The 21,054-nt window shown below is 49.8% G+C and overlaps 1 protein-coding gene across 1 annotated transcript; it reads right to left on the bottom strand.

Moving 5' to 3' along the window:
- On the bottom strand, positions 8,163–20,997 carry CCS (copper chaperone for superoxide dismutase). Its single transcript, NM_005125.2, has 8 exons — positions 20,882–20,997; positions 20,468–20,540; positions 14,929–15,066; positions 14,546–14,723; positions 13,633–13,693; positions 8,766–8,843; positions 8,590–8,693; positions 8,163–8,480 (listed from the first exon to the last, which is right to left on the bottom strand). Exons 1-8 carry the CDS (start codon positions 20,918–20,920, stop codon positions 8,327–8,329), a joined length of 825 nt encoding a protein of 274 aa, NP_005116.1. The 5' UTR covers positions 20,921–20,997; the 3' UTR covers positions 8,163–8,326.

The following is a 21,054-nucleotide window of genomic DNA, read 5'->3' as shown; positions in this document are numbered from 1 at the left end:
CCCGGCGTAATTTTTGCATTTTTAGTAGGGGTTTCAGCATGTTGGCCAGGCTGGTCCCGAACTCCCGACCTTGTGATTCGCCTGCCTCGGCCTCCCAAAGTGCTGGGATTACAGGTGTGAGTCACCCCACCCGGCAGGTGGGGTCTTACGTTAACACAGTGAGACCCATAGGTGCTTTTAATTTTTCTAGTAGCTGCATTTTAAAAGGTGAAAAGAAACAGGTGAAACTAATTGTAGGCTGGGTGTGGTGGCTCATGCCTGTAATCCCAGTGCTTTGGGAGGCTGAGGCAGGTAGATCGCCTCAGCCCAGAAGGTTGGGGACAGCCTGGGCAACGACCAAAATCCATCTCTAAAATTTTTTTTTTTTAAATTAGCCGGCGGCCGGGCGGGGTGGCTCATGCCTGTAATCCCAGCACTTTGGGAGGCCGAGGAAGGCAAATTATGAGGTCAGGAGTTCGGGACCAGCCTGGCCAACACGGTGAAACCCCGTCTCTACTAAACATACAAAAAATTATCTGGGCGTAGTGGCGTGCGTCTGTAATCCCAGCTACTCAGGAGGCTGAGGCAGGAGAATTGCTTGAACCCAGGAGGCGGAGGTTGCGGTGAGCTGAGATTGTGGCCGCTGCACTCCAGCCTGGGTGACAGAGTGAGACTCCGTCTCAAAAAATACATACGTACATATTTGTGTGTGTGTGTGTGTGTGTATGTATATACACACACACACACACACACACACACACATATATCTGCGGGTGGTGGTGCACCTGTAGTTCTAGCTACTTGAGAGACTGAGGGGGAAGGAATCGCTTGAGCCCAGGATTTTAAGATTATAGTGAGCTGTAATGGTGCCACTGCACTCTAACCTGGGCAAAAGAGTGAAACTCTGTTTCTAAATACATAAATTAATTAAATAGATGTAAAGAATCTTGCCAAATTTCACAGATCTGGCAAATCAGAATGCTGGGGCTTGAATAAGGATCTGACTCCTTGATCTAGAATAATGGAAATAGCATTAAATTAGCCCTAGTTCAGTTTTATGGTCCAGGTGGGCAACCCTCTTCGCTCCTGCAGCCCTCACTGAGTTTCTCATCTGTAAAGTGTCTAGCTTGGCTTGGCTGATCTCAAAGAAAAGTTTGCAGGTTTTTTCTTTGTTGTTGTTGTTTGTTTGTTTTGGTTTGGTTTGGTTTTTTGGAGACAGTCTCACTCTGTCCCCCAGGCTGGAGTACAGTGATGAAATCATGGCTCCCTGCAGCCTGGACCTTCCGGGCTGGTCTTGAACTCCTGACCTCGTGGTCTGCCCAGCTCAGCCTCCCAAAATGCTAGGATTACAGGCATGAACCACCATGCCCAACCACCCCCAGATAATTTTTTAATTTTTACTTTGTAGAGACGGGGGTCAATTTGTTGCCCTGGCTGCTCTCAAACTCCTAGCCTCAAGTGATCCTCCAGAATCAGCCTCCCAATGTGCTAGGATTACAGGCATGACCCACCACACCCAGCTAGATTCTTTACACATATGAGTATCATCTTACCTATAAAATAACTGGCTTTACCACATTTTTGTTTTTAGGTTTAAGAGTTTTTTAATTGTAAATTTGGGGATGGGTGTGGTGGCTCATCCCTGTAATCCTAGCACTTTGGGAGGCTGAGGCAGGAGGATCACTTGAGCTCAGGAGTTCAAGACCAGCCTGAGAAACATAGACCCCCATCTACATGAAAAGAATTTTAAAAATTAACCAGGTGTGGTGGTGTGTGCCTGTAGTCCCAGCTACTCTGGAGGCTGAGATGGGAGGATCACTTGAGCCCAGGAGGCTAAGGCTGCAGTGAGCTGTGATCGCACCACTGCACTCCAGCCTGAGCAACACAGGGAGGCCTTGTCTCTAATAAAAATTTCTCTTGGCAGGTATGTATGAAGGATAAGGCCATTTTGAGCAATAACAAGTGTTGAACACAATGTAAGACACATAGTAAGAAGTTTGGCCAGACGCAGTGACTCAATGCCTATAATCCCAGCACTTTGGGAGGCCAAGGCAGGAGGATCACTTGAGCCCAGGAGTTTGAGACAAACCTGGGCAACCCAGGGAGACCCCATGTCTCAAAAAATATAAAAATTAGTCCCAGCGCAGTGGCTCACACCTGTAATCCCAGCATTTTGGGAGGCCGAGGTGGGTGTATCACTTGAGGTCAGGAGTTCAAGACCAGCCTGATCAACATGGTGAAACCCCATCTCTACTAAAAATACAAAAAATTAGCCGGGAGTGCTGGCGCGTGTCTATAATCCTAGCTACCTGAGAGGCTGAGGCACAAGAATTGCTTGAACCCGGGAGGTGGAGGTTGCAGTGAGCCGAGATCATACCACTGTGCTCCAGCCTGGGTGACAGAGTGAAACTGTCTGAAACAAAAAAAAAAAAAGAAAAAGAGCAATTAGCCAGGCATGGTGATGTGCACCAGTGGTCCCAGCTGGGAGGCTGAGGCAAAAAGCTTGCTTGTGCCCAGGAGTTTCAGGTTGCACAGAGCTACGATAATCATGACGCTGGGCTCCAGGCTGGGCAACAAACTAAGAGATCATGTCTCAAAAAAAAAAAAAAAAAAAAAAGAAAAAGAAAGAAAGAAAAAAAGAAAAAAAATAGGTCGGCTGTGGTGGCTCACGCCTATAATCCCAGCACTTTGGGAGGCCAAGGCAGGCAGATCACTTGAGGTCAGGAGTTTGAGACCAGCCTGGCCAACATGGCAAAACCAATCTCTACTAAAAATACAAAAAAAAAAAAAAAAAAAAAAATTAGCTGGGCGTCATGGCACATATCTGTAATCCCAGCTACTCAGGAGGCTGTGTCAGGAGAATCACTTGAACCCAGGAAGCAGAGATTGCAGTGAGCTGAGATCATGCCACTGCACTCCAGGCTGGGCAACAGAGTGAGACTCCGTCTCAAAAATAAATAAAGAAAATAAAAAATAAGTTAGCTGGACATGGTGGTGCATGCCTGTAGTTGCAGTTACTCAGAAAGCTGAGGCAGGACTGCCTGATCCCATGAGATGGAGGCTACAGTGAGCTATGATCACACCACCATACTCCAGCCTGAGTGACAGAGCAAGACACCATCTGAAATATACATAAGTAGTGATTTTTCACCTACAAGGGTATCCTGTGGGCTATTTGGTGCAGGACTATCCTGCACATTGAAGGTTGGTAAGTATCCCTAGTCTTCCCCCAATACCAGCAGCATCCCCGCCCCCACCTAGCATTGTCACAGCCAGAAGAAATAGCCCTCACAAACTTCCATAGGGCCATACCATCCCCACTGAGAACCACTGATCTAAATCAAATTTTGTAAACTTAGGTAAACTTAGTTTTGGGTAAAAACAATCTCTGTAATAAAGCAATCTGACAAGTAAAGTCCTTATCTCTTTACAACGAATGGAGAGAAAGGCTAGAGAGAAATTCTGTCATGGAAACTAGAGTACCGTCAAATTTACTTATGAGACCTTTTCCTAAGTTAATTGTATCAATTTACCTGTGGTTTACTAGGTCACTGTAGCAGGTTTATTAATGGCCTCCAAAGATATTAGGTCCTAATCCCTGGAACTTCTGAATGTTACTTTATGTGGCAAAGTCTCTGAAGATGTGATTAAATCAATGGCCCTTGCTAAGAAGAGATTATCCTGGATTACTCTGGTGGTGTTAAATGCAATCACATGCATCCTTGTAAGAGGGAGGCAGAAGGAGATTTGACACAAATACATGGAGGAAAAGGCCATGGGAAGACAGAGCAGACTGAGTGGATGGTGCTGGCCTTGAAGATTGGAGTGAGATTCGGCCACAAGCCAAGGAATGCCAGCGGCCACACAAAGCTGGAAGAGGCCAGGAAGGGATGTTTCCCTATAGTTTCTGGAGGAAGCAAGCTCTTGTCCACACCTTGATTTCAGCCCAGTGATACTAAGTTTGTACTTCTGGCCTCCAGAACTGTGAGAATAAATTTTTGTTGTTTTAAGCCACAGTTTGTGGTACTTTGTTACAGCTGCCACTGTTACAAAGGAAACTGATTACAGGAAACTGATATGAGTTAGTAACAACACAGATAAAGACGTTTTCACAGCTAACTTTCATTATTCCATTGCATAGGTGTTCTTCTCTGCTAGAAAGGAGCTTTTCCCTTTTTGGTCTCCTTCCTTCCAGCTTTCCACCCTATCATGTGAATGTGTGACAATGGGAGGCTTGGTGCTGTGGTAATCACCCTTGCCACCAAAAGGGGAGGAGGGGACATGAAGAGAAACACACAGTTCATGATGACAGTATCCTGACGTTGCCACACCACTGGACCTGCTCTGAATCCTCAAATATCCAGACTGTTGATCTGGTGACATAATTAAATGTCTTAATTGCTTTGGCCACTATTAGGACTGTATTACTTACTGCAGAATTCATCCTAATATAGAATTCCACAGACAATATCAAGACTGAAAATAAGAAACAATGACACAGTCATGTTATTTAAAAATATGGAGGTATAGGCCGGGTGTGGTGGTTCACACCTGTAATCCCAGCACTTTGGGAGGCCAAGGCGGGCGGATCACAAGGTCAGGAACTGGCTAACATGATGAAAACCCATCTCTACTAAAAATACAAAAAATTAGCCGGGCGTGGTGGCATGCACCTTTCTTTAGTCCCAGCTACTCGGGATGCTGAGGCAGGAGAATCGCTTGAACCCAGGAGGTGGAGGTTGCAGTGAGCCGAGATCACCCCACTGCACTCCAGCCTGGGCAACAAGAGAGAAACTCCATCTCAAAAAAAAAAAAAATTTTTTTTTGGAGATGGGGTTCTTGCTATGTTGCCCAAGTTGGTCTCGAACTCCTGGCCTCAAGTAATCTTCCCATCTTGGACTTAAATTTTCCTTTTCATTTATTGATTTATTTTTGAGACAGGGTCTCACTCTGTCCCCCAGGCTGGAGTGCAGTGGCACAATCATGGCTCACTGCAACCTTGACCTCCTGGGATCAAGCAATCCTCCCATCTTGGCCTCCCAAACTGCTGGGATTAAAGGCCTCTTTTTTTTTAATTATTTTTATTTTTTTAGAGACAAGGTCTTACTCTCTCAAGCAGGCTGGAGCAGAGTGGCGTGACCATGGCTCACTGCCGCTGCACACTCCTAGGCACAAGCAATCCTCCTGCCTCAGGCTCCTAAGTAGCTGGGACCATAAGCCTGTGCCACCACACTCAGCTAATGTTTAAGTTATTATCATTATTATTATTATTATTATTATTATTATTATTATTATTTTGAGACAGAGTCTTGCTCTCTCGCCCAGGCTGGAGTGCAGTGGCGCGATCTCCACTCACTGCAAACTCCGCCTCCCGGGTTCACACCATTCTCCTGCCTCAGCCTCCCGAGTAGCTGGGACTACAGGCACGTGTCACCACACCCAGCTAATTTTTTGTATTTTTAGTAGAGACGGGGTTTCACCATGTTAGCCAGGATGGTCTCGATCTCCTGACCTCGTGATCCGCCCACCTCGGCCTCCCAAAGTGCTGGGATTACAGGCGTGAGCCACCGCGCCCGGCCTTTTAAATTATTTTTTGTAGAGACAGGGTGTTGCTTTCTTCGCTAGTCTGGTTTCTAACTAGCTTCAAGCAGTCCTCCTGCCCTGGCCTCCCAAAGTGCTGGGATTACAGGCATGAGCCACTGTTCCTGGCCAAAACAGAGCATCTTTGCCTGCAGTTCCACTTCTGCTTTGCAAATGAGGCTTCAAGATGTTTGAACAGTGTCCTGTGATTTAAAAATAAACTTTGAAAAACCACACAGCCAGAAGTTCAGAAGAAAAGCTAATGAGGATGTTGATCTTTTTTTTTTTTTTTTTTTTGAGACGGAGTCTCGCTCTGTTGCCCAGGCTGGAGTGCAGTGGCACCATCTCGGCTCACTGCAAGCTCCACCTCCCGGGTTCACGCCATTCTCCTGCCTCAGCCTCCCAAGTAACTGGGACTACAGGTACCCGCCACCATGCCTGGCTAAGTTTTTGTATTTTTAGTAGAGACGGGGTTTCACCCTGTTAGCCAGGATGGTCTCCATCTCCTGACCTTGTGATCCGCCCGCCTTGGCCTCTCAAAGTGCTGGGATTACAGGTGTGAGCCACCACGTCTGGCCGATCTCCTTTTTTTTTTTGAGATAAGAGTCTGGTTCTGTCACCCAGGCTGGAGTGCAGTGGTGTGATCTCGGTTCACTGCAACCTCTGCCTCCTGGGTTCAAGCAATTCTCCTGTCTCAGCCTCATAAGTAGATGGGATTTCAGGCACTGTAATCCCACTACACCTGGCTAACTTTTGTATTTTTAGTAGAGATGGGGTTTCGCTATGTTGGCCAGGCTGGTCTCAAACTCCTGACCTCAAGTGATCCACCCACCTTGGCCTCCCAAAGTGCTGGTATTACAGGCGTGAGTCACTGCATCCACCCTGCAGTGAGTCTTGATTGCACCACTGCACTCCAGCCTGGGCAACAGAGTGAAACTCTGTCTCAAAAAAAGGAAAAAAAAAAAAAAGAGGCTAATAGAGTCGTGTCATGGTGAACCGTTTAGGCTTAAAAAGGTTAAAACCCAGGCATCATTCCAGAATGGAGGTGAGAGGATGTCAGGGGTTAGCTGTGGGCAGAATCCAGGATGAATTTCTGCAATGACTTGGAAGTGGGGAAAGACAGCCTGAGTCTGGGCTTAAAAGGGTTTGGCTCCCAGCAACCACAGGGAGCTGGAAAAGAACCAGCATAGGTTTGGCAAGAAAGAGCAGAGTCCAAGGGTTGGGGCTAGAGGTGGAACCCACCCACAGCCTTGAAAGGGAAAACAGACAGGGACTGGGGAATGGGATCCGAGCCAGGGGCTCTGCCTCGAAGCCAAGGACAACTAACTGCGAAACCACCCACCCAGTTCCAAGCAGGCAGTGTAGGGACAACGTTTGTAGTCTGCCAGCTTGGGGCAAAGTTTGTAGTCTGCCAGCTTACCCTGTCATAAAAGCAGCTTTGTCAAGGATGAGCAAGGCACCCCATGGGGATGGGGGTACAGGGAAATAATAGACGAGTAGGGAGGCTCTGAACCCGAGGCCCCACAAACTGTACCCTGGTTAGCAGCTCATCCAACCATAGGAAAGGGGAGCTTGGCTAGGGCTGCCTCCGAGGGTCCCACGCAGCCTCAGAATCATAGCTGCTGCTCCCTTAACTTTATATGACAGGCTGTGTGCCAAGCACTTCACTTATGTTAATTGATAATTTTTACTTATGACTGAAAGGAATAAAGTCAGATTTTTGTTTGTTTGTTTTTGGTTTTGTTTTTTTTTTGAGATGGAGTCTTGCTCTGTTGCCCAGGCTGGAATGCAGTGGCGTGATCATGGTTCACTGCAGCCTCAACCTCCCAGGCTGAAGCAATCCTCCCACCTCAGCCTCCCAAATAGCTGGGACCACAAGCATGCACCATCACACCCAGCTAATTAAATTTTTTTTTTTTGTAGAGACAGGGTCTTACTCTGTTCCCCCAGCTGGTCTCAAACTCCTGGGCTCAAGAGATCCTCCCGCCTTGGCCTTCCGAAGTGCTGGGATTACAGGTGTGAGCTACCGTGCCCAGCCTCAAGCCAGATTATTTTAACAGGGGGATGCATTAGGAGGATTCGGGAGCATCTCTTCAATCCCAGGCAGGAGGCAGCTGGCCTCACGAAAGGCTCAGAGAGGGGACTCCAGAGTGACTGGGATTCTCCAGCAACTCTTAGATTCTCCCTGCCTCATTTTTCCTCCTTAGCCGACTGGCTTTTTCTGATGCTCAGTCAATAAGGCAGGGAGAAGAGGGCCACCAAAACTTCCCATATTCCCATGTTATGGGTCCAACCACAGGAAAAAACTAAAGCTGGATCTGCCCTGATTTCTCAGGGAAAGCATGGGCCACCATGGGTCAGGTGTCCATTTTGGTTCCAATCAGCCATAGTGAGGGGTTGGGGGAGGCCACAAACAGAAATTTGACTGTAGTGGCTCTTCATTATGGCTCCAAGGAGGAAGATGGGGACTTCAGTGTGTGTGTAGGTTTGAATTCAGGTTTGTTTGGCTCCAATGCTAAGGGGTGGCCCTGATACAAAGGAAAGAAGCAGAGCTATGTTCACCAAGCCCATAAGGGGCATGGAGACAAGCACAAAACACCAAGTCCCAAACGAAAATAAAACTTTCATTTGCCAAGGGAACACCACAGCAGCTCCTGCCCTGTACTGAGCTCTCCAAAGACTGGGCAGGCAAAGTCCCTCTGGCCCCCTCTGGAAGTGGAAAGTGCTCGCCCTGGAGGACAGCAACAGAGCCAAGGTGAGGTCCTGCTCAAAGGTGGGCAGGGGGCTGCGCTGACTCCTTTCGGCCCTTGCCAGCGATGGGCCGGCCTCGCTCCTCCCAGATGGTGAGGCCATCGCAAGAGCAGATCTGCTTGGGGTTCTGGAAAAGGCCAGCGGAGCGTGCAATGATGCCACAGGCCAACCTGCAGAAGAATGTGTGGTCAGGGGTGGGTACCTGTTTGGCCCCCACCCCTGGGTTCCTCATGCACCATCCGCAGAGCACAGCCTCCTACAGGGGCCGACACCACTCACCTCTCCCCGGAGTTCCCTGTGATCTTGGATAAGGGATGGCCTCCCCGGCCCAGGTCATCTTCTCCCTCATCAATAATCAGGCTGCGGCCAATCACATCCCACACCTTTGAGGGGAGACGACAGCTTCAGATGATGGACCCTGTTAGGAAGGGTGCCCACCTTCTTTTCCACCTTACCTTCAGCTGCTCATCCTCCATTCTGAAGATGGCGCGGCCGTCAGCATCAGCACGGACATTGCCCAGGTCTCCGCGGTGCTGGAATGAGATCCAGTGTGTGTATAGGGGATGTGTGCCACGTGGTGCCAAGCTGCTATCTTCTGATTTCCTGATTCCGACGCCTCTTCCTGCTTCCCTAAAGTACCCATTTCCTCCTGTGGGTACCAGTCTCGTAGGATCTGAGCTCCCCAAGGACTGGGCAGGCAAGGTCCTCTTGGCCCTGTCTGGAAGTGGAAAGTGGTCCAGGAAGTCCCGGACCATCTGAACACTCCCTCCCTGGAACTGAAATCCTGGGCAGGATGACAGTGGGCTGAAAAGAGCCAGTGGAAGTTTCCCCTGCCTGTGCAGTCATTCCCATTGGATCAGACTGTTTTTCCGGCGAGGCAATTGCCCAGCTCTGCTTCTCAGCCTCCAGTTAGCTCAGTTGTGCAGCCTCCTGATGGCTCTGTGAGCCCTTGGCTGTCTTCAATTCCTATAGGCTTAAGTTGGCCAAGCTTGGCTTCCCTGACCATCATAGGCAGCCAGTGTCATTTCCCTGACTCCCAGATTCCAGGAACAGAAGGAAATGCAAGGGGCAAAGGGCCTGTCCTAGCCCCTCGAAGCTGGCTCTGCCCTCCTTCTCCTTTGACGGTAATAAAAATTGTCATAACACACCTATGAGCACCTCCTAGGTCAGACACACTACCCAACATGGCAGGGAGTATGCAGGTCACCATCCTCAAGGGACTCAGAACATGGTGGGGGCCCAGATACAGAACAGACTAGGGGTGATGACACACAGGGTGAATACAACAGTTGGTGTGTTTTGGGGTGACAAGGCCTTACTAGTGAGCCACAGAAACCCACATCTGTGCAAATAAATTGTCCCCAACCTGACATTTTGGGCAGAAACAAGTGCCTGTGCCAGTACAGGTGGGCTCCCATGACCTTGCTGCTGAGTAACCAGGCATCTCACTGTGCCACCAACTGATGGGCAGGAAGAAGTGGCAGTTCTGCTTTATCTCGTTTTCCAGAGGGATATCTGCTGCCTGCACCTGGTACTTTTTTTTACGCCCTGCGTTGGAGATTTGAACAGTAGAAAGATCAAGAAGGGGGAGGGGATACAGAGCCCTGAAGAGCGGTTTTTTTTGCTTGTTTTGTTTTGTTTTGATACAAAGTCTCATTGCAATGCCCAGGCTGGAATGCAATGGTGTGATCTCGGCTCACTGCAGTCTCTGCTTCCCGGGTTCAAGCAATTCTCCTGCCTCAGCCTCCTAAGTAGCTGAGATTACAGGCACGCGCCACTACGCCTGGCTAGTTTTTGTATTTCTTTTAATTAATTAATTTATTTATTTATTTATTTATTTATTGAGACAGAGTCTCACTCTGTTGCCCAGGCTGGAGTGCAGTGGTGCGATCTGGGCTCACTGCAACCTCCCCACCCCCCAGGTTCAAGCAATTCTCCTGTCTCAGCTTCCCGAGTAGCTGTGACTACAGAGCACGCCACCATACCTGGCCAACTTTTGTTTTGTTTTGTTTTGTTTTGTTTTGTTGAGATGGAGTCTTGCTCTGTCGCCCAGGCTGGAGTGCAGTGGCGCGACCTCGGCTCACTGCAAGCTCCGCCTCCCAGGTTCACGCTATTCTCCTGCCTCAACCTCCCAAGTAGCTGGGACTACAGGCGCCCGCCACCACGCCTGGCTAATTTTTTGTATTTTTAGTAGAGACGGGGTTTCACAATGTTAACCAGGATGGTCTCGATCTCCTGACCTTGTGATCTGCCCGCCTCGGCCTCCCAAAGTGCTGGGATTACAGGCATGAGCCACTGTGCCCGGCCCAACTTTTGTATTTTTAATAGAGACAGGGTTTCACCATGTTGGTCAAGCTGATCTCAAACTCCTGACCTCAAGTGACCCATCCGCCTCAGCCTCCCAAAGTGCTGGGATTACAGGCATGAGCCATTGCACCTGGCCTAATTTTTGTATTTTTAGTAGAGACAGGGTTTCACCATATTGGCCAGCCTGGTCTCGAACTCCTGAACTCAAGTGATCCGTCTGCCTCGGCCTCCCAAAGTGCTAGGGTTGCAGGCGTGAGCCACTGTGCCCGGCTGGAGGAGCGGCCTCAAGGCAGGGGGCAGCCTGGACAGTGTGGCTGGAGGCATGACCCAGCAGGAGTTCAGGGAAAGGCAGCCTTTCCAGGCTGTTTCCTCAGCACACAGGCAGGGGCAATAGGCAGGGGGAGTGGGGTATTGAATGTCCACATCAAGAAGCTAGGCCCAGCTTGTACTCTCAGGCACTGGGAGCCAAGACAAGTTTCAGGCAGGGGCATGGCCTGGTTACTCCAGGCTTCAGAACAATCCTTCTAGTGCAGTCTATGAAAAGTAAAGACTGGAGCAGGGTGAGGAGAGAACAGAAGGGAGCTTAGAGATCAGTTAGGAGATGTGCAAGGGACAACCAGGCTTGAATGCAAATTCCCACATGGAATTCTTTTCCACCTGGGAAAAGCAGATGCTAAAACCCAACAGCAACTTGCCAGTCACCGTGGCCTTGGCTGGTCAGCTCCTGCTCAGTTCTTCCTTGTCTAAGTTAAGGGATTGGGTGAGGTACAGCTGCTGATGCCAGCCCCTTCTGATTCCCTGCCCCACCTGGGGCCCAGGAAGAAAACACAGGTCACAAGACAGGCTCCTGCCCTTCAGAAACACTCCCTGCCATTCCATGCCTTGAGGGCTTTGCCCGGGCAGTTTCTTTTGCTGGGCTTGCCAATCCCACTCTTACCCTCTTCAATGCCTACTTCCTGCCCATCATCTTTCAAGGCTGCATGAGGCGAATGGCCTCTATGATGTGCCTCCCTTGAGTGTGGGCTGGACCTAGTGTCACTTCTAAGATTAGGTTACAAAAAGAATGTGGCTTGAGTCTTGGACGCCCTCTCTCAATCTCAATCTCTCTCTCTCTCGCTCATTCACTCTGAGAGAAGCCAACTGCCGTGTTGTTAGCTGCCCTAGGGAGAGACCCATGTGGCAAAGAACTGATGTCTCTGGCCAACAGCCAAGGAGGACCTGGGGCCTGCCAACAGCAACATGAGCAAACCTGGAAGCAGATTCTCCCCACGTGGGGCCCTGAGATGACTGCAGCCCCGAGAGAGACCCTGAGCTGCAGGCACCCAGCTAAGTCACACACAAATTCCTGCCCCAGAGACAGTATATGTTTGTTGTTTTAAACTCCTAACTTTGGAGTCATTTGATTTGCAGCAGCAGATTACTAATCACTGAGCATAAGCATGGCACTGTGCAATGGACTCTATAAGAAATGCCTCTCCAATTTCCCAGAACAGGGAGTAAAAACTTTTGATCATTAGAAATGTGACAGGGTGGTTGGGCACAGTGGCTCATGCCTGTAATCCCAGCACTTTGGGAGGCCAAGGCAGGCGGATCACTTGAGGTTGGGACTTCAAGACCAGCCTGGCCAACATGGCAAAACCTCGTTTCTACTAAAAATAAAAAAAAGAAAAAGAAAAAAAAAAAATGTGGCAGAGGCCAGGCATGCTGGCTCATGCTCATAATCCTAACACTGGGAGGCCGAGGAGGGAGGTCTGCTCAAGCCCAGCAGTTTGAGACCAGCCTGAGGAACATAGTGACACCCTATTTCTACCACCAAAAAAACAAAAAAAAAAAATTAGCTGGGCATAATGGTACATGCTTGTGGTCCCAGCTATCAGGTGAGGTGGGAGGATTGCTTGAGCCCATGAGTTCAAGGCTGTAGTGAGCCATGATCACAGCACTGCACTCCAGCATGGGCAACAGAGTGAGATCCTATCTCGGAAAGGAGAGGGGAGGGGAGGGGAGGGGAGAAAGGAAAAGGAAAAGAAACAGAAGAAAAGAAAAGCATGATAGGTAACAGAGCTGTGAAAAGTCCAAAAAATCAGTAACATGCATTAAGCAACACATACCATGGTTTCAATTGTTTTGTGGCACAAGGTTGCAAACCCATCAAGATAGAAAATAGCCCAGTCAGAGCCGGGCACAGTGGCTCACGCCTGTAATCCCAGCACTTTGGGAGGCTGAGGTGGGTGGATCACTTGAGGTCAGGAGTTCAAGACTGCCTGGCCAACCTGGTGAAACCCCATCTCTACTAAAAATACAAAAATTACCCGGGTGTGGTGGTGTGCACCTGTAGTCCCAGCTATTAGGGAGGCTGAGGCAGGAGAATCGTTTGAACTTGGGAGGCGGAGGTTGCAATGAGCTGGGACTGCGCCATTGCACTCTAGCCTGGGCAATAAGAACAAAACTCCATCTCAGAAAATAAAATAAAAAAACCAAATGATTGAGTAACTAAAAATACAACTAGTACTCAGATAAGGCAAAAATCATTAAGGCAACACACAATTCCCTGAAGATTGGGAAATGATTCTCTGCTGAAAAATGAAACTCCAGGACCGGGGTGTTAGGGAACACCAGGGACAGCCTTTTCAGTTTAGGTAAAACCCTCAACTTCCATATTTCACTTCCTCCCACTGCCCCTGCCCCTCAGGCAGATGAACTATTCACTGTGGGCTCCAGGACCTCTTGCAGGCTCCTGCAAGGATGATCTCACTGCCTGGAAACCATGGAATTCAGTAATCTCCCCCAGAGACTGTGTGCTCCTTGGGTCAGGCACTGGGGCTGTAATCTATTGTATCCCCTGGGCCTTGATCACAGAAAGTGTCAACAAATGTTTCCAAACTCAGCAAAATAAAATGAGAGGAAAAGACTCCACCAAAAAGGAATCACACTGTTATGATCCCAAGAGCTGCCTGCCCTGCCTCTGAGACTTTGGGTCCTCTCTCAGCCCAAGCCCAAACCCAGACAGACACTTACCCGGTCAGAGTCCTGGGGGCCCCCATGAGATGCTCCATCAGGGTTAAAGTGATTCCCACAGCTAAGAAAGAAAGGAAACAGGTGGGCAGGAAAGCAGCTCACAGGCCAGGTGCTCTACCCTCTCATCTATTTATATTTGCTTCATTCATTCATTCATTCATTCATTCAACAAACAGGCCTACTCTGTGCTGGGCTTTGGGTAGAGGGCACCGAGAAGAATCAGACATGGGTCCTGTCCTGAATAAGCTTCTGGCTCAGGGGACTCACAGATGAGTAAACAACTAGTTATATCACAGCATGACAAACACCATGGCATGGGGACCCTTCCTTTGCTGTGTCCAGAAGTCCCCTTCCATCTCAGAGGCAGTAAGGTGGTTATAAGCAGGACCTTCAAGATCAGATTTTATTTTTTTTCTTGAGACAGAGTTTTGCCCTGTCACCCCTGAGCTGGAGTGCCGTGGTGCAATCTCAGCTCACCACAACCTCCACCTCCTGAGTTCAAGTGATTCTCCTGCCTCAGGAGATTACGGGCCTCCCTAGTAGCTGGGATTATGGGCACATGCCACTGCACCTGGCTAATTTTTTTTTGTATTGTTAGTAGAGATGGGGTTTCACCATGTTGGCCAGGCTGGTCTTGAACTCCTGACCTCAGGTGATCCGCCCACCTCAGCCTCCCAAAGTGCTAGATTACAGGTGTGAGCTACTGTGCCCAGCCAAGGTCAGATCTTGACTCAAACCCCAACTCTACCTTTTACCTGCTGTGGACCTTTGGCAAGTCATTTAACCTCTGTGAGCCTCAGTTTCCTCATCTGGAGGTTGTGCCTGTGTGTATGTGCCTCACAGAGTATTGGTGAGGGCCCAGTGTGAAAATGTGTAGCTGAGAATGCTACTGGGGAGACTTCAGACAACTCACCTGTTGCAGTTGTTTGTAAGGTCCCCGTACTGATGGACGTGGAGTCCATGCAGCCCAGGCTCCAGGCCGTCAATAGTTCCCTCGATGAGGCAGCGCTCAGGGGTCAGCTGTAGGAAGCGCACCACCCCCTGCACGGTGCCAGGCCCCCCCAGGATGGCCACTGCTGCCCCCAGATTCTCTGCAAGGTATTAGACACTTGGGCTGGCTTGCCACCTCACCCAGCACACCTCTTCAGCAGCTCGGGAAGGGCAGGGAGTCTCACATAATTTTCACACCTTCCTCAAAGCCACTCCAACCCAGAGCCTGAGAATCCTATGATTAGATTTGTACCAGCTCTGAGCCACCTCCCTCCGAGAGGGGCCAAGGCCACAGTGGTCACTCACGCAACTGGCCGCTGCCCATGCCCTTGAGTACCGCCTGCCGCCCCGTGCCTTCCAGGAGAGCCTGCACCTCCTGGCTGGGTAGAGTGGTGTGTACCAAGACCATCTGGTCCTCCAAGTGCACCTCCACATCCTGGACACCTGGCAAGAAAGAGAGGGAAGAGGGCAACAGAGGCTGGCACCCAGTGCTGGCAGCAGGGAACAGAAAAACAGACAGCAATTCTCCATCCCCATTTCCACCAAACTTCCCATGGTCAGAGGCAAGCTACTTCGTAACTGTGTAACCCTGAGTAAGCCTCTTCACTTCTGAGTCTGTCTCTTTTCATATAAATGGGGATAATGCCACCTTGCCCCCAGGATTTCTGTGAGTTCTAATACACGCCAGGCATTATTTATAACTTTGGAAACATACATCATTCTTTTTAAAGCAGTGTTTTGTTTTTTTTTTAAGTGGGCTATCCATAGTGGCATTATTCACAATAGCCAAAAGATAAAAATAACCCAAATGCCCATCAACTAATGAACAGATAAAATGTGGTATCCATACAATGAAATACTATTCAGGAACGAAGTGCTGATACATGCTACAACATGGACGGACCTTGAAACATTATGCTACAAGAAAGCCAGTCACAAAGCCACATATATAATGCCATGTATATTAGATATCTAGAATAGGCAAATCCACAAACAGAAAATATTCTTCCTGTAGGAGATAGCTTAAAAAATATTTTTTTTTTTTTGAAACAGAGTCTCTCTCTGTTGCTCAGGCTGGAGTGCAGTGGCACGATCTCAGCTCACTGAAACCTCCATCTCCCGGGTTCAAGCGATTCTCCTGCCTTAGCCTCCCGAGTAGCAGGGACTACAGGCACACACCACCACCATGCCCAGCTAATTTTTTTGTATTTTTTTCTTTTAGTAGACATGGGGTTTCACCATGTTGGCCAGGCTGCTCTCGAACTCCTGACCTCAGGTCATCTGCCTGCCTCAGTCTCCCAAAGTACTGAGATTACAGGCATGAGCCATCACGCCTGGCTGTGGCCTAGGATTTCTTTATGAAGTGATAAAAATGTAAAACTGACAGTGGAGAGATGGTTGTACAACTCTGAAAATACTACAAACAGATGAACTGTATCCTTTAAATGGGTGAATTTTTTTTCTTTTTTTTTTTTTGAGACAGAGTCTCGCTGTGTCACCCAGGCTGGAGTGTAATGGCACAATCTCGGCTCACTGCAACCTCAGCCTCCCAAACTGTTGGGACTACAGGCGTGAGCCACTGCGCCTGGCCTAAATGGGTGATTTTTATAGTACATGAATTATATCTTTTTTTATTTTCAAGATGGAGTCTCGCTTTGTCACCTAGGCTGGAGAGCAGTGGCATAATCTTGGCTCACTGCAACCTCTGCCTCCTGGGTTCAAGCAAGCCTCCCAAAGTGCTGGAATTACAGGCGTGAGCCACTGTGCCTAGCTGCCCAGCCTATGAATTATATCTTTTTTTTTTTTTTGAGACAGAGTCTCACTCTGTCGCCCAGGCTGGAGTGCAGTGGCGCCATCTGGGCTCACTGCAAGCTTCACCTCCTGGGTTCACGCCATTCTCCTGCCTCAGCCTCCCGAGTAGCAGGGACTACAGGCGCCCGCCACCAAGCCCGGCTAATTTTTTGTATTTTTAGTAAAGACGGGGTTTCACCGTGTTAGCCAGGATGGTCTCAATCTCCTGACCTCGTGATCTGCCCGCCTTGGCCTCCCAAAGTGCTGGGAATACAGGCATGAGCCACCACACCTGGCCTTTTTTTCTTTTTGAAATGGAGTCTCGCTCTGTCACCCAGGCTGGAGTGCAGTGGCACAATCTCGGCTCACTGCAAGCTCCACCTCCTGGGTTCTAGCCATTCTCCTGCCTCAGCCTCCCGAGTAGCTGGGACAACAGGTGCCCGCCATCACGCCCAGCTGATTTTTTGTGTTTTTAGTAGAGACAGGGTTTCACCGTGTTAGCCAGAATGGTCTCGATCTCCTCACCTCATGATCTGCCTGCCTCAGCCTCCCAAAGTGCTGGAATTACAGGTGTGAGCCACTGCGCCCAGCCGAATTATATCTTAATAAAGCTATTACACACATAAAAGGCAGGGACTATTGCCATCATTAGTAGAGCTAACACTTACTGGGCATGGACGGTGAGCGAATCCTGTGTTTTACCTGTCTTAACATATTTGGTACTCCTACTAAGCCTCTAAGTTAGGTACAATGATCCCCATTTTACAGATGAGAAAACTGAGGCACAGAAAGATGAAGAAACTTGCTCAAAGTCGCACTGTAGTAAGTTGTGCAACTGGACCTCTGACCATGCAGCCTAGCTCCAGAGCCCCAGCACTTAACCCAGATATTGTACTCACCCTAGGAAGCAGCCCTTAGGCTCCAAGCTGGGTTAGGACCACACCCCTTGTGGTCCTGTAGCAGCTCACACTCCCCCTCCTGTAATTCACATTGCACTGACTACAATCCTGTTTCACTCCTAGGCCGCCAGCTCTGTGAGGGCAGGAGCTCTGTGAGGTCCACAAGGGTCAAGTTCAAAAGTCAGTTGTCGGCCGGGCGCGGTGGCTCATGCCTGTAATCCCAGCACTTTGGGAGGCCAAGGTGGGTGGATCACAAGGTCAGGAGATCGAGACCATCCTGGCTAACACGGTGAAACCCCATCTCTACTAAAAATACTAAAAAGTTAGCCGGGCATGGTGGCGGGCGCCTGTAGTCCCAGCTACTCAGGAGGCTGAAGCAGGAGAATGGCATGAACCCGGGAGGCGGAGCTTGCAGTGAGCCGAGATTGCGCCACTGCACTCCAGCCTGGGCAACAGAGCGAGATTCCGTCTCAAAAAAAAAAAAAAAAAGTCAGTTGTCAGATGGCCAGGCGTGGTGGCGCACACCCATAATCCCAGCACTTTGGGAGGTTGAGGCAGGTGGATCACATGAGGCCAGGAGTTCGATACTAGCCTTGCCAACATGGCAAAACTCCATCTTTAGTAAAAGTATGAAAATTAGCCAGGCATGGTGGTGCACACCTGTAATCCCAGCTACTCAGGAGGCTGAGGTGGGAGAATCAAATGAACCGGGAGGTGGAGGTTGCAGTGAGCTGAGATGGTGCCACCGCACTCCAGCCTGGGCAACAGAGCAGAACAAGACCCTGGCTTTTATGTGCAAAAGCTATTAGAGGGGGCAACAGAAGCAATGGGGAACCCATCAAAGGATGAGGTTCTTACACAGGCTAGGGAGAGGTGGGGTGGCCTGGAGCAGTGTGGAGGCCTAAGTATGTTTTGGACACATAGCAGATAAGATGTCCTGATGACAGGCCTCAGCATAGGAGGGTTCCCAGACCCTCAGGTCTCCAGAGAAGAGCTGATTCTCTGCTCCTGAAGTGGGAAGTTCCTTGTCACTATGTACCTCCTGAATTATTGACTGAGTCTAAACCAAGAGGGAGGCTGGTACCTTAGCCAAGCAGCCATTCAGTTTGCTCCTTGAGTTAAGACTGGTAGACCCTGGAATGTAGCCAGGCCCACCCTTGGTTGGCTCAGAGCCCAGTGAGAGAGAAAACAGAAGGCCACAGAGAACACCAGGGCAAGTGATAGAGATTCAAGGGGGTGAGCCTTGGGCTGGGGGATCCTCCTGCTTACCTCCTGAGAAGGCCTTCCCCCAGGCCTCCTGAGATGGCAACTCTCTTTCTCTGTGTGTGTGTATTCTAGAAAACTACAGCTTCCCTCCCTGGCCCCATGAGAAAGCCAAGCCGGACCAGAAAACACAGAGTCACCAGAAGTCTTTATCTGTTGCCTAAGAAACATGCTGAGGGCTGAAAACTGCTCCGGGTCCAAGAGAAAGGCCAGCTGTCTGCTCTCCTCGCAAGCAAGTAGTACAGGAAGTGGAGGGCCCATTCACCACCCAAAACGCGTAGTCTAAGCAAACCCAGCTTCAACATTGTCCCCTCCAGCCTCCTTCCATCCAGATCACCACCTGTAAGCCCTTCTTCTCATAATCCCCTAGGATTTACTGGGCTGTTATTACATGCCAAAGACTTTTCTAAATGCTTTTTTTGTATTAACTCGGTTACTCTTCAGGACAATCCTCCAGATTAGCTTCTATTATCATCCCCCATTTAACACAGAAGAAACAGAGACACAAAAAGTAACATGCATGAAGTCTTAGTGCCATTAAGTGGCAAAGAGGGGGTTTGAACTCTAGAGCTCATACCCCTAATCACTTTACAGAGTCCACCACTACCAGGGTCCCAGCTTCAGAAGCCATCTTATCTCATTCCCTCTCACCATTGCTCTTTCCACGAAGCATTCTGCGAATGCCATCCAGGCAACGCTTGCATGCTCATTTCCACCTGAGTGCAGGGGATGTGCCTGATACCCATGTGAACTCTTCTCCCTAAAAAGCCCCAGTGTCTGGTCCATACCTGCCGAATGACTGGGTGAACTTGTTTTTTTTTTTTTTTTTTTTGAGAGAGGGTCTCACTCTGTCACCCAGCCTGGAGTGCAGTGGAGCGATCCAACTCACTGCAGCCTCCACCTCCTGGACTCAAGCAATCCTCCTGCTTTGGCCTCCCCAGTAGCTGGGACTACAGGAGTGCACCATGACGCCCAGCTAATTTTTGTATATTTTATAGAGGAGGGTTTTCGCCATGTTGCTCAGGCTGCTCTCAAACTCATGGACTTGAGCAATCTACCTACTTTGGTGTCCCAAAGTGCTGGGATTACAGGCGTGAGCCACTGAGCCTGGCCTGGATAAACACTTAACAGAATCAAAGGAAGCCAGTTCCCAGAGCCATGCTGGTGGCTCTACCTTTCCAGATCTTTCTCATTGTGCCAGGTCACCTCCAGACCAGCTGGCCTTTTATTTATTATTATTATTTTTTTGAGACGGAGTCTCACTCTGTTGCCCAGGCTAGAGTGCAGTGGCGCGATCTCGGCTAACTGCAAGCTCCGCCTCCCGGGTTCACGCCATTCTCCTGCCTCTGCCTCCCAAGTAGCTGGGACTACAGGCGCCCACCACCACGCCCGGCTAATTTTTTGTATTTTTTAGTAGAGACAGGATTTAACTGTGTTAGCCAGGATGGTCTCGATCTCCTGACCTGGTGATCCACCCACCTCGGCCTCCCAAAGTGCTGGGATTACAGGCATGAGCCACCACACCCAGTGGTATAGAAAGCTACCCAGGATGGTATAGGGCCTGAGCTGCTGTTTGCTTTGTCAAGATTATGTTGTTTCCCAAGCAAAAACTGCCTGTTTTCCCAGGAACTCCCTCAGCCTAGCTCCTCAGTCTCTGGGGCACCTGAGGTTCAGGACAACAAGACAGGCAGTTAGAATCTGTCAGGGCAAGCTGGACAGCTGTACTCTAGGCTCTGCCTCCAGGTCTGTGTGTAACTCTGAGAACATGCCTTTCACTCTCTGGGGTTCACTTTCTGCATCTGTAAAATGGGAGTAGGGTTCGCCTAATAGATTCGCCTGGTCCCTCCCAGAGGCTTCTGGACTGTCTGCAGAAAAGTTTACCCTGTTCTTACCTGCCACCCCTTGCAGGGATTTGCGCACCGCGTCCACACAGCTCTGACAGGTCATCTGCACCGCGAACTCCAACTGCAAGGGCGGCAGGGACCAACCGATGATCGCTGGGGAAGTGCCTTGGTATGACTTTGTTTCACCACCTACCCTATGACCACCGCAAGGGTCTGGGAACAAGCCCCACTTAACCCCTCTTCAAGCACCTTCTTCATGATCTCTCATGACCATTCCAGGACCATGGGAGTCACCCCCCAACACTCACGCAGGGCCCCTGCTACCCTCGCACCCTAGTTTCATCCCATGGCCCCAGGCCCCAACCCAAGTGCCCACTCCTTCTCCTCTTCCCAAGGTAACGATCATCCCAGGGGCCGAGGCTCTCTGCCCGGCGAGGCTCCACACGAAGCCTCGACCCTCACCGTGCAGAGGGTCCCCTGGTTCCCCGAATCCGAAGCCATTCTGGACCCAGTCACCACCCCGAGACGCAGAACTCCTCCGGCGCAGGAGCACCAACCAGCGCGGCGTCGCGGGGACTGAGCCTCTAAAGCCACCCTTAACTCCTCCTCCTAGTGCGTGCGCACGCAAGGCCCTG

The sequence above is a fragment of the Homo sapiens genome, chromosome 11 (assembly GCF_000001405.40).
Source record: "Homo sapiens chromosome 11, GRCh38.p14 Primary Assembly".
NCBI classification, from domain to species: Eukaryota; Metazoa; Chordata; class Mammalia; order Primates; family Hominidae; genus Homo; species Homo sapiens.
This window is presented reverse-complemented; position numbering and strand designations above follow the sequence as displayed.

What these genes read in the sequence shown, in the direction of transcription:
- CCS (NM_005125.2), bottom strand. Translation starts at nt 20,920, where the DNA reads ATGGCTTCGGATTCGGGGAACCAGGGGACCCTCTGCACG. An exon ending in ACCAGGGGACCCTCTGCACG is followed by an intron (nt 20,541 to 20,881) that starts GTGAGGGTCGAG and finishes CCGCCCTTGCAG; the next exon opens with TTGGAGTTCGCGGTGCAGAT. An exon ending in CATGGGCAGCGGCCAGTTGC is followed by an intron (nt 14,724 to 14,928) that starts GTGAGTGACCAC and finishes AATACCTTGCAG; the next exon opens with AGAATCTGGGGGCAGCAGTG.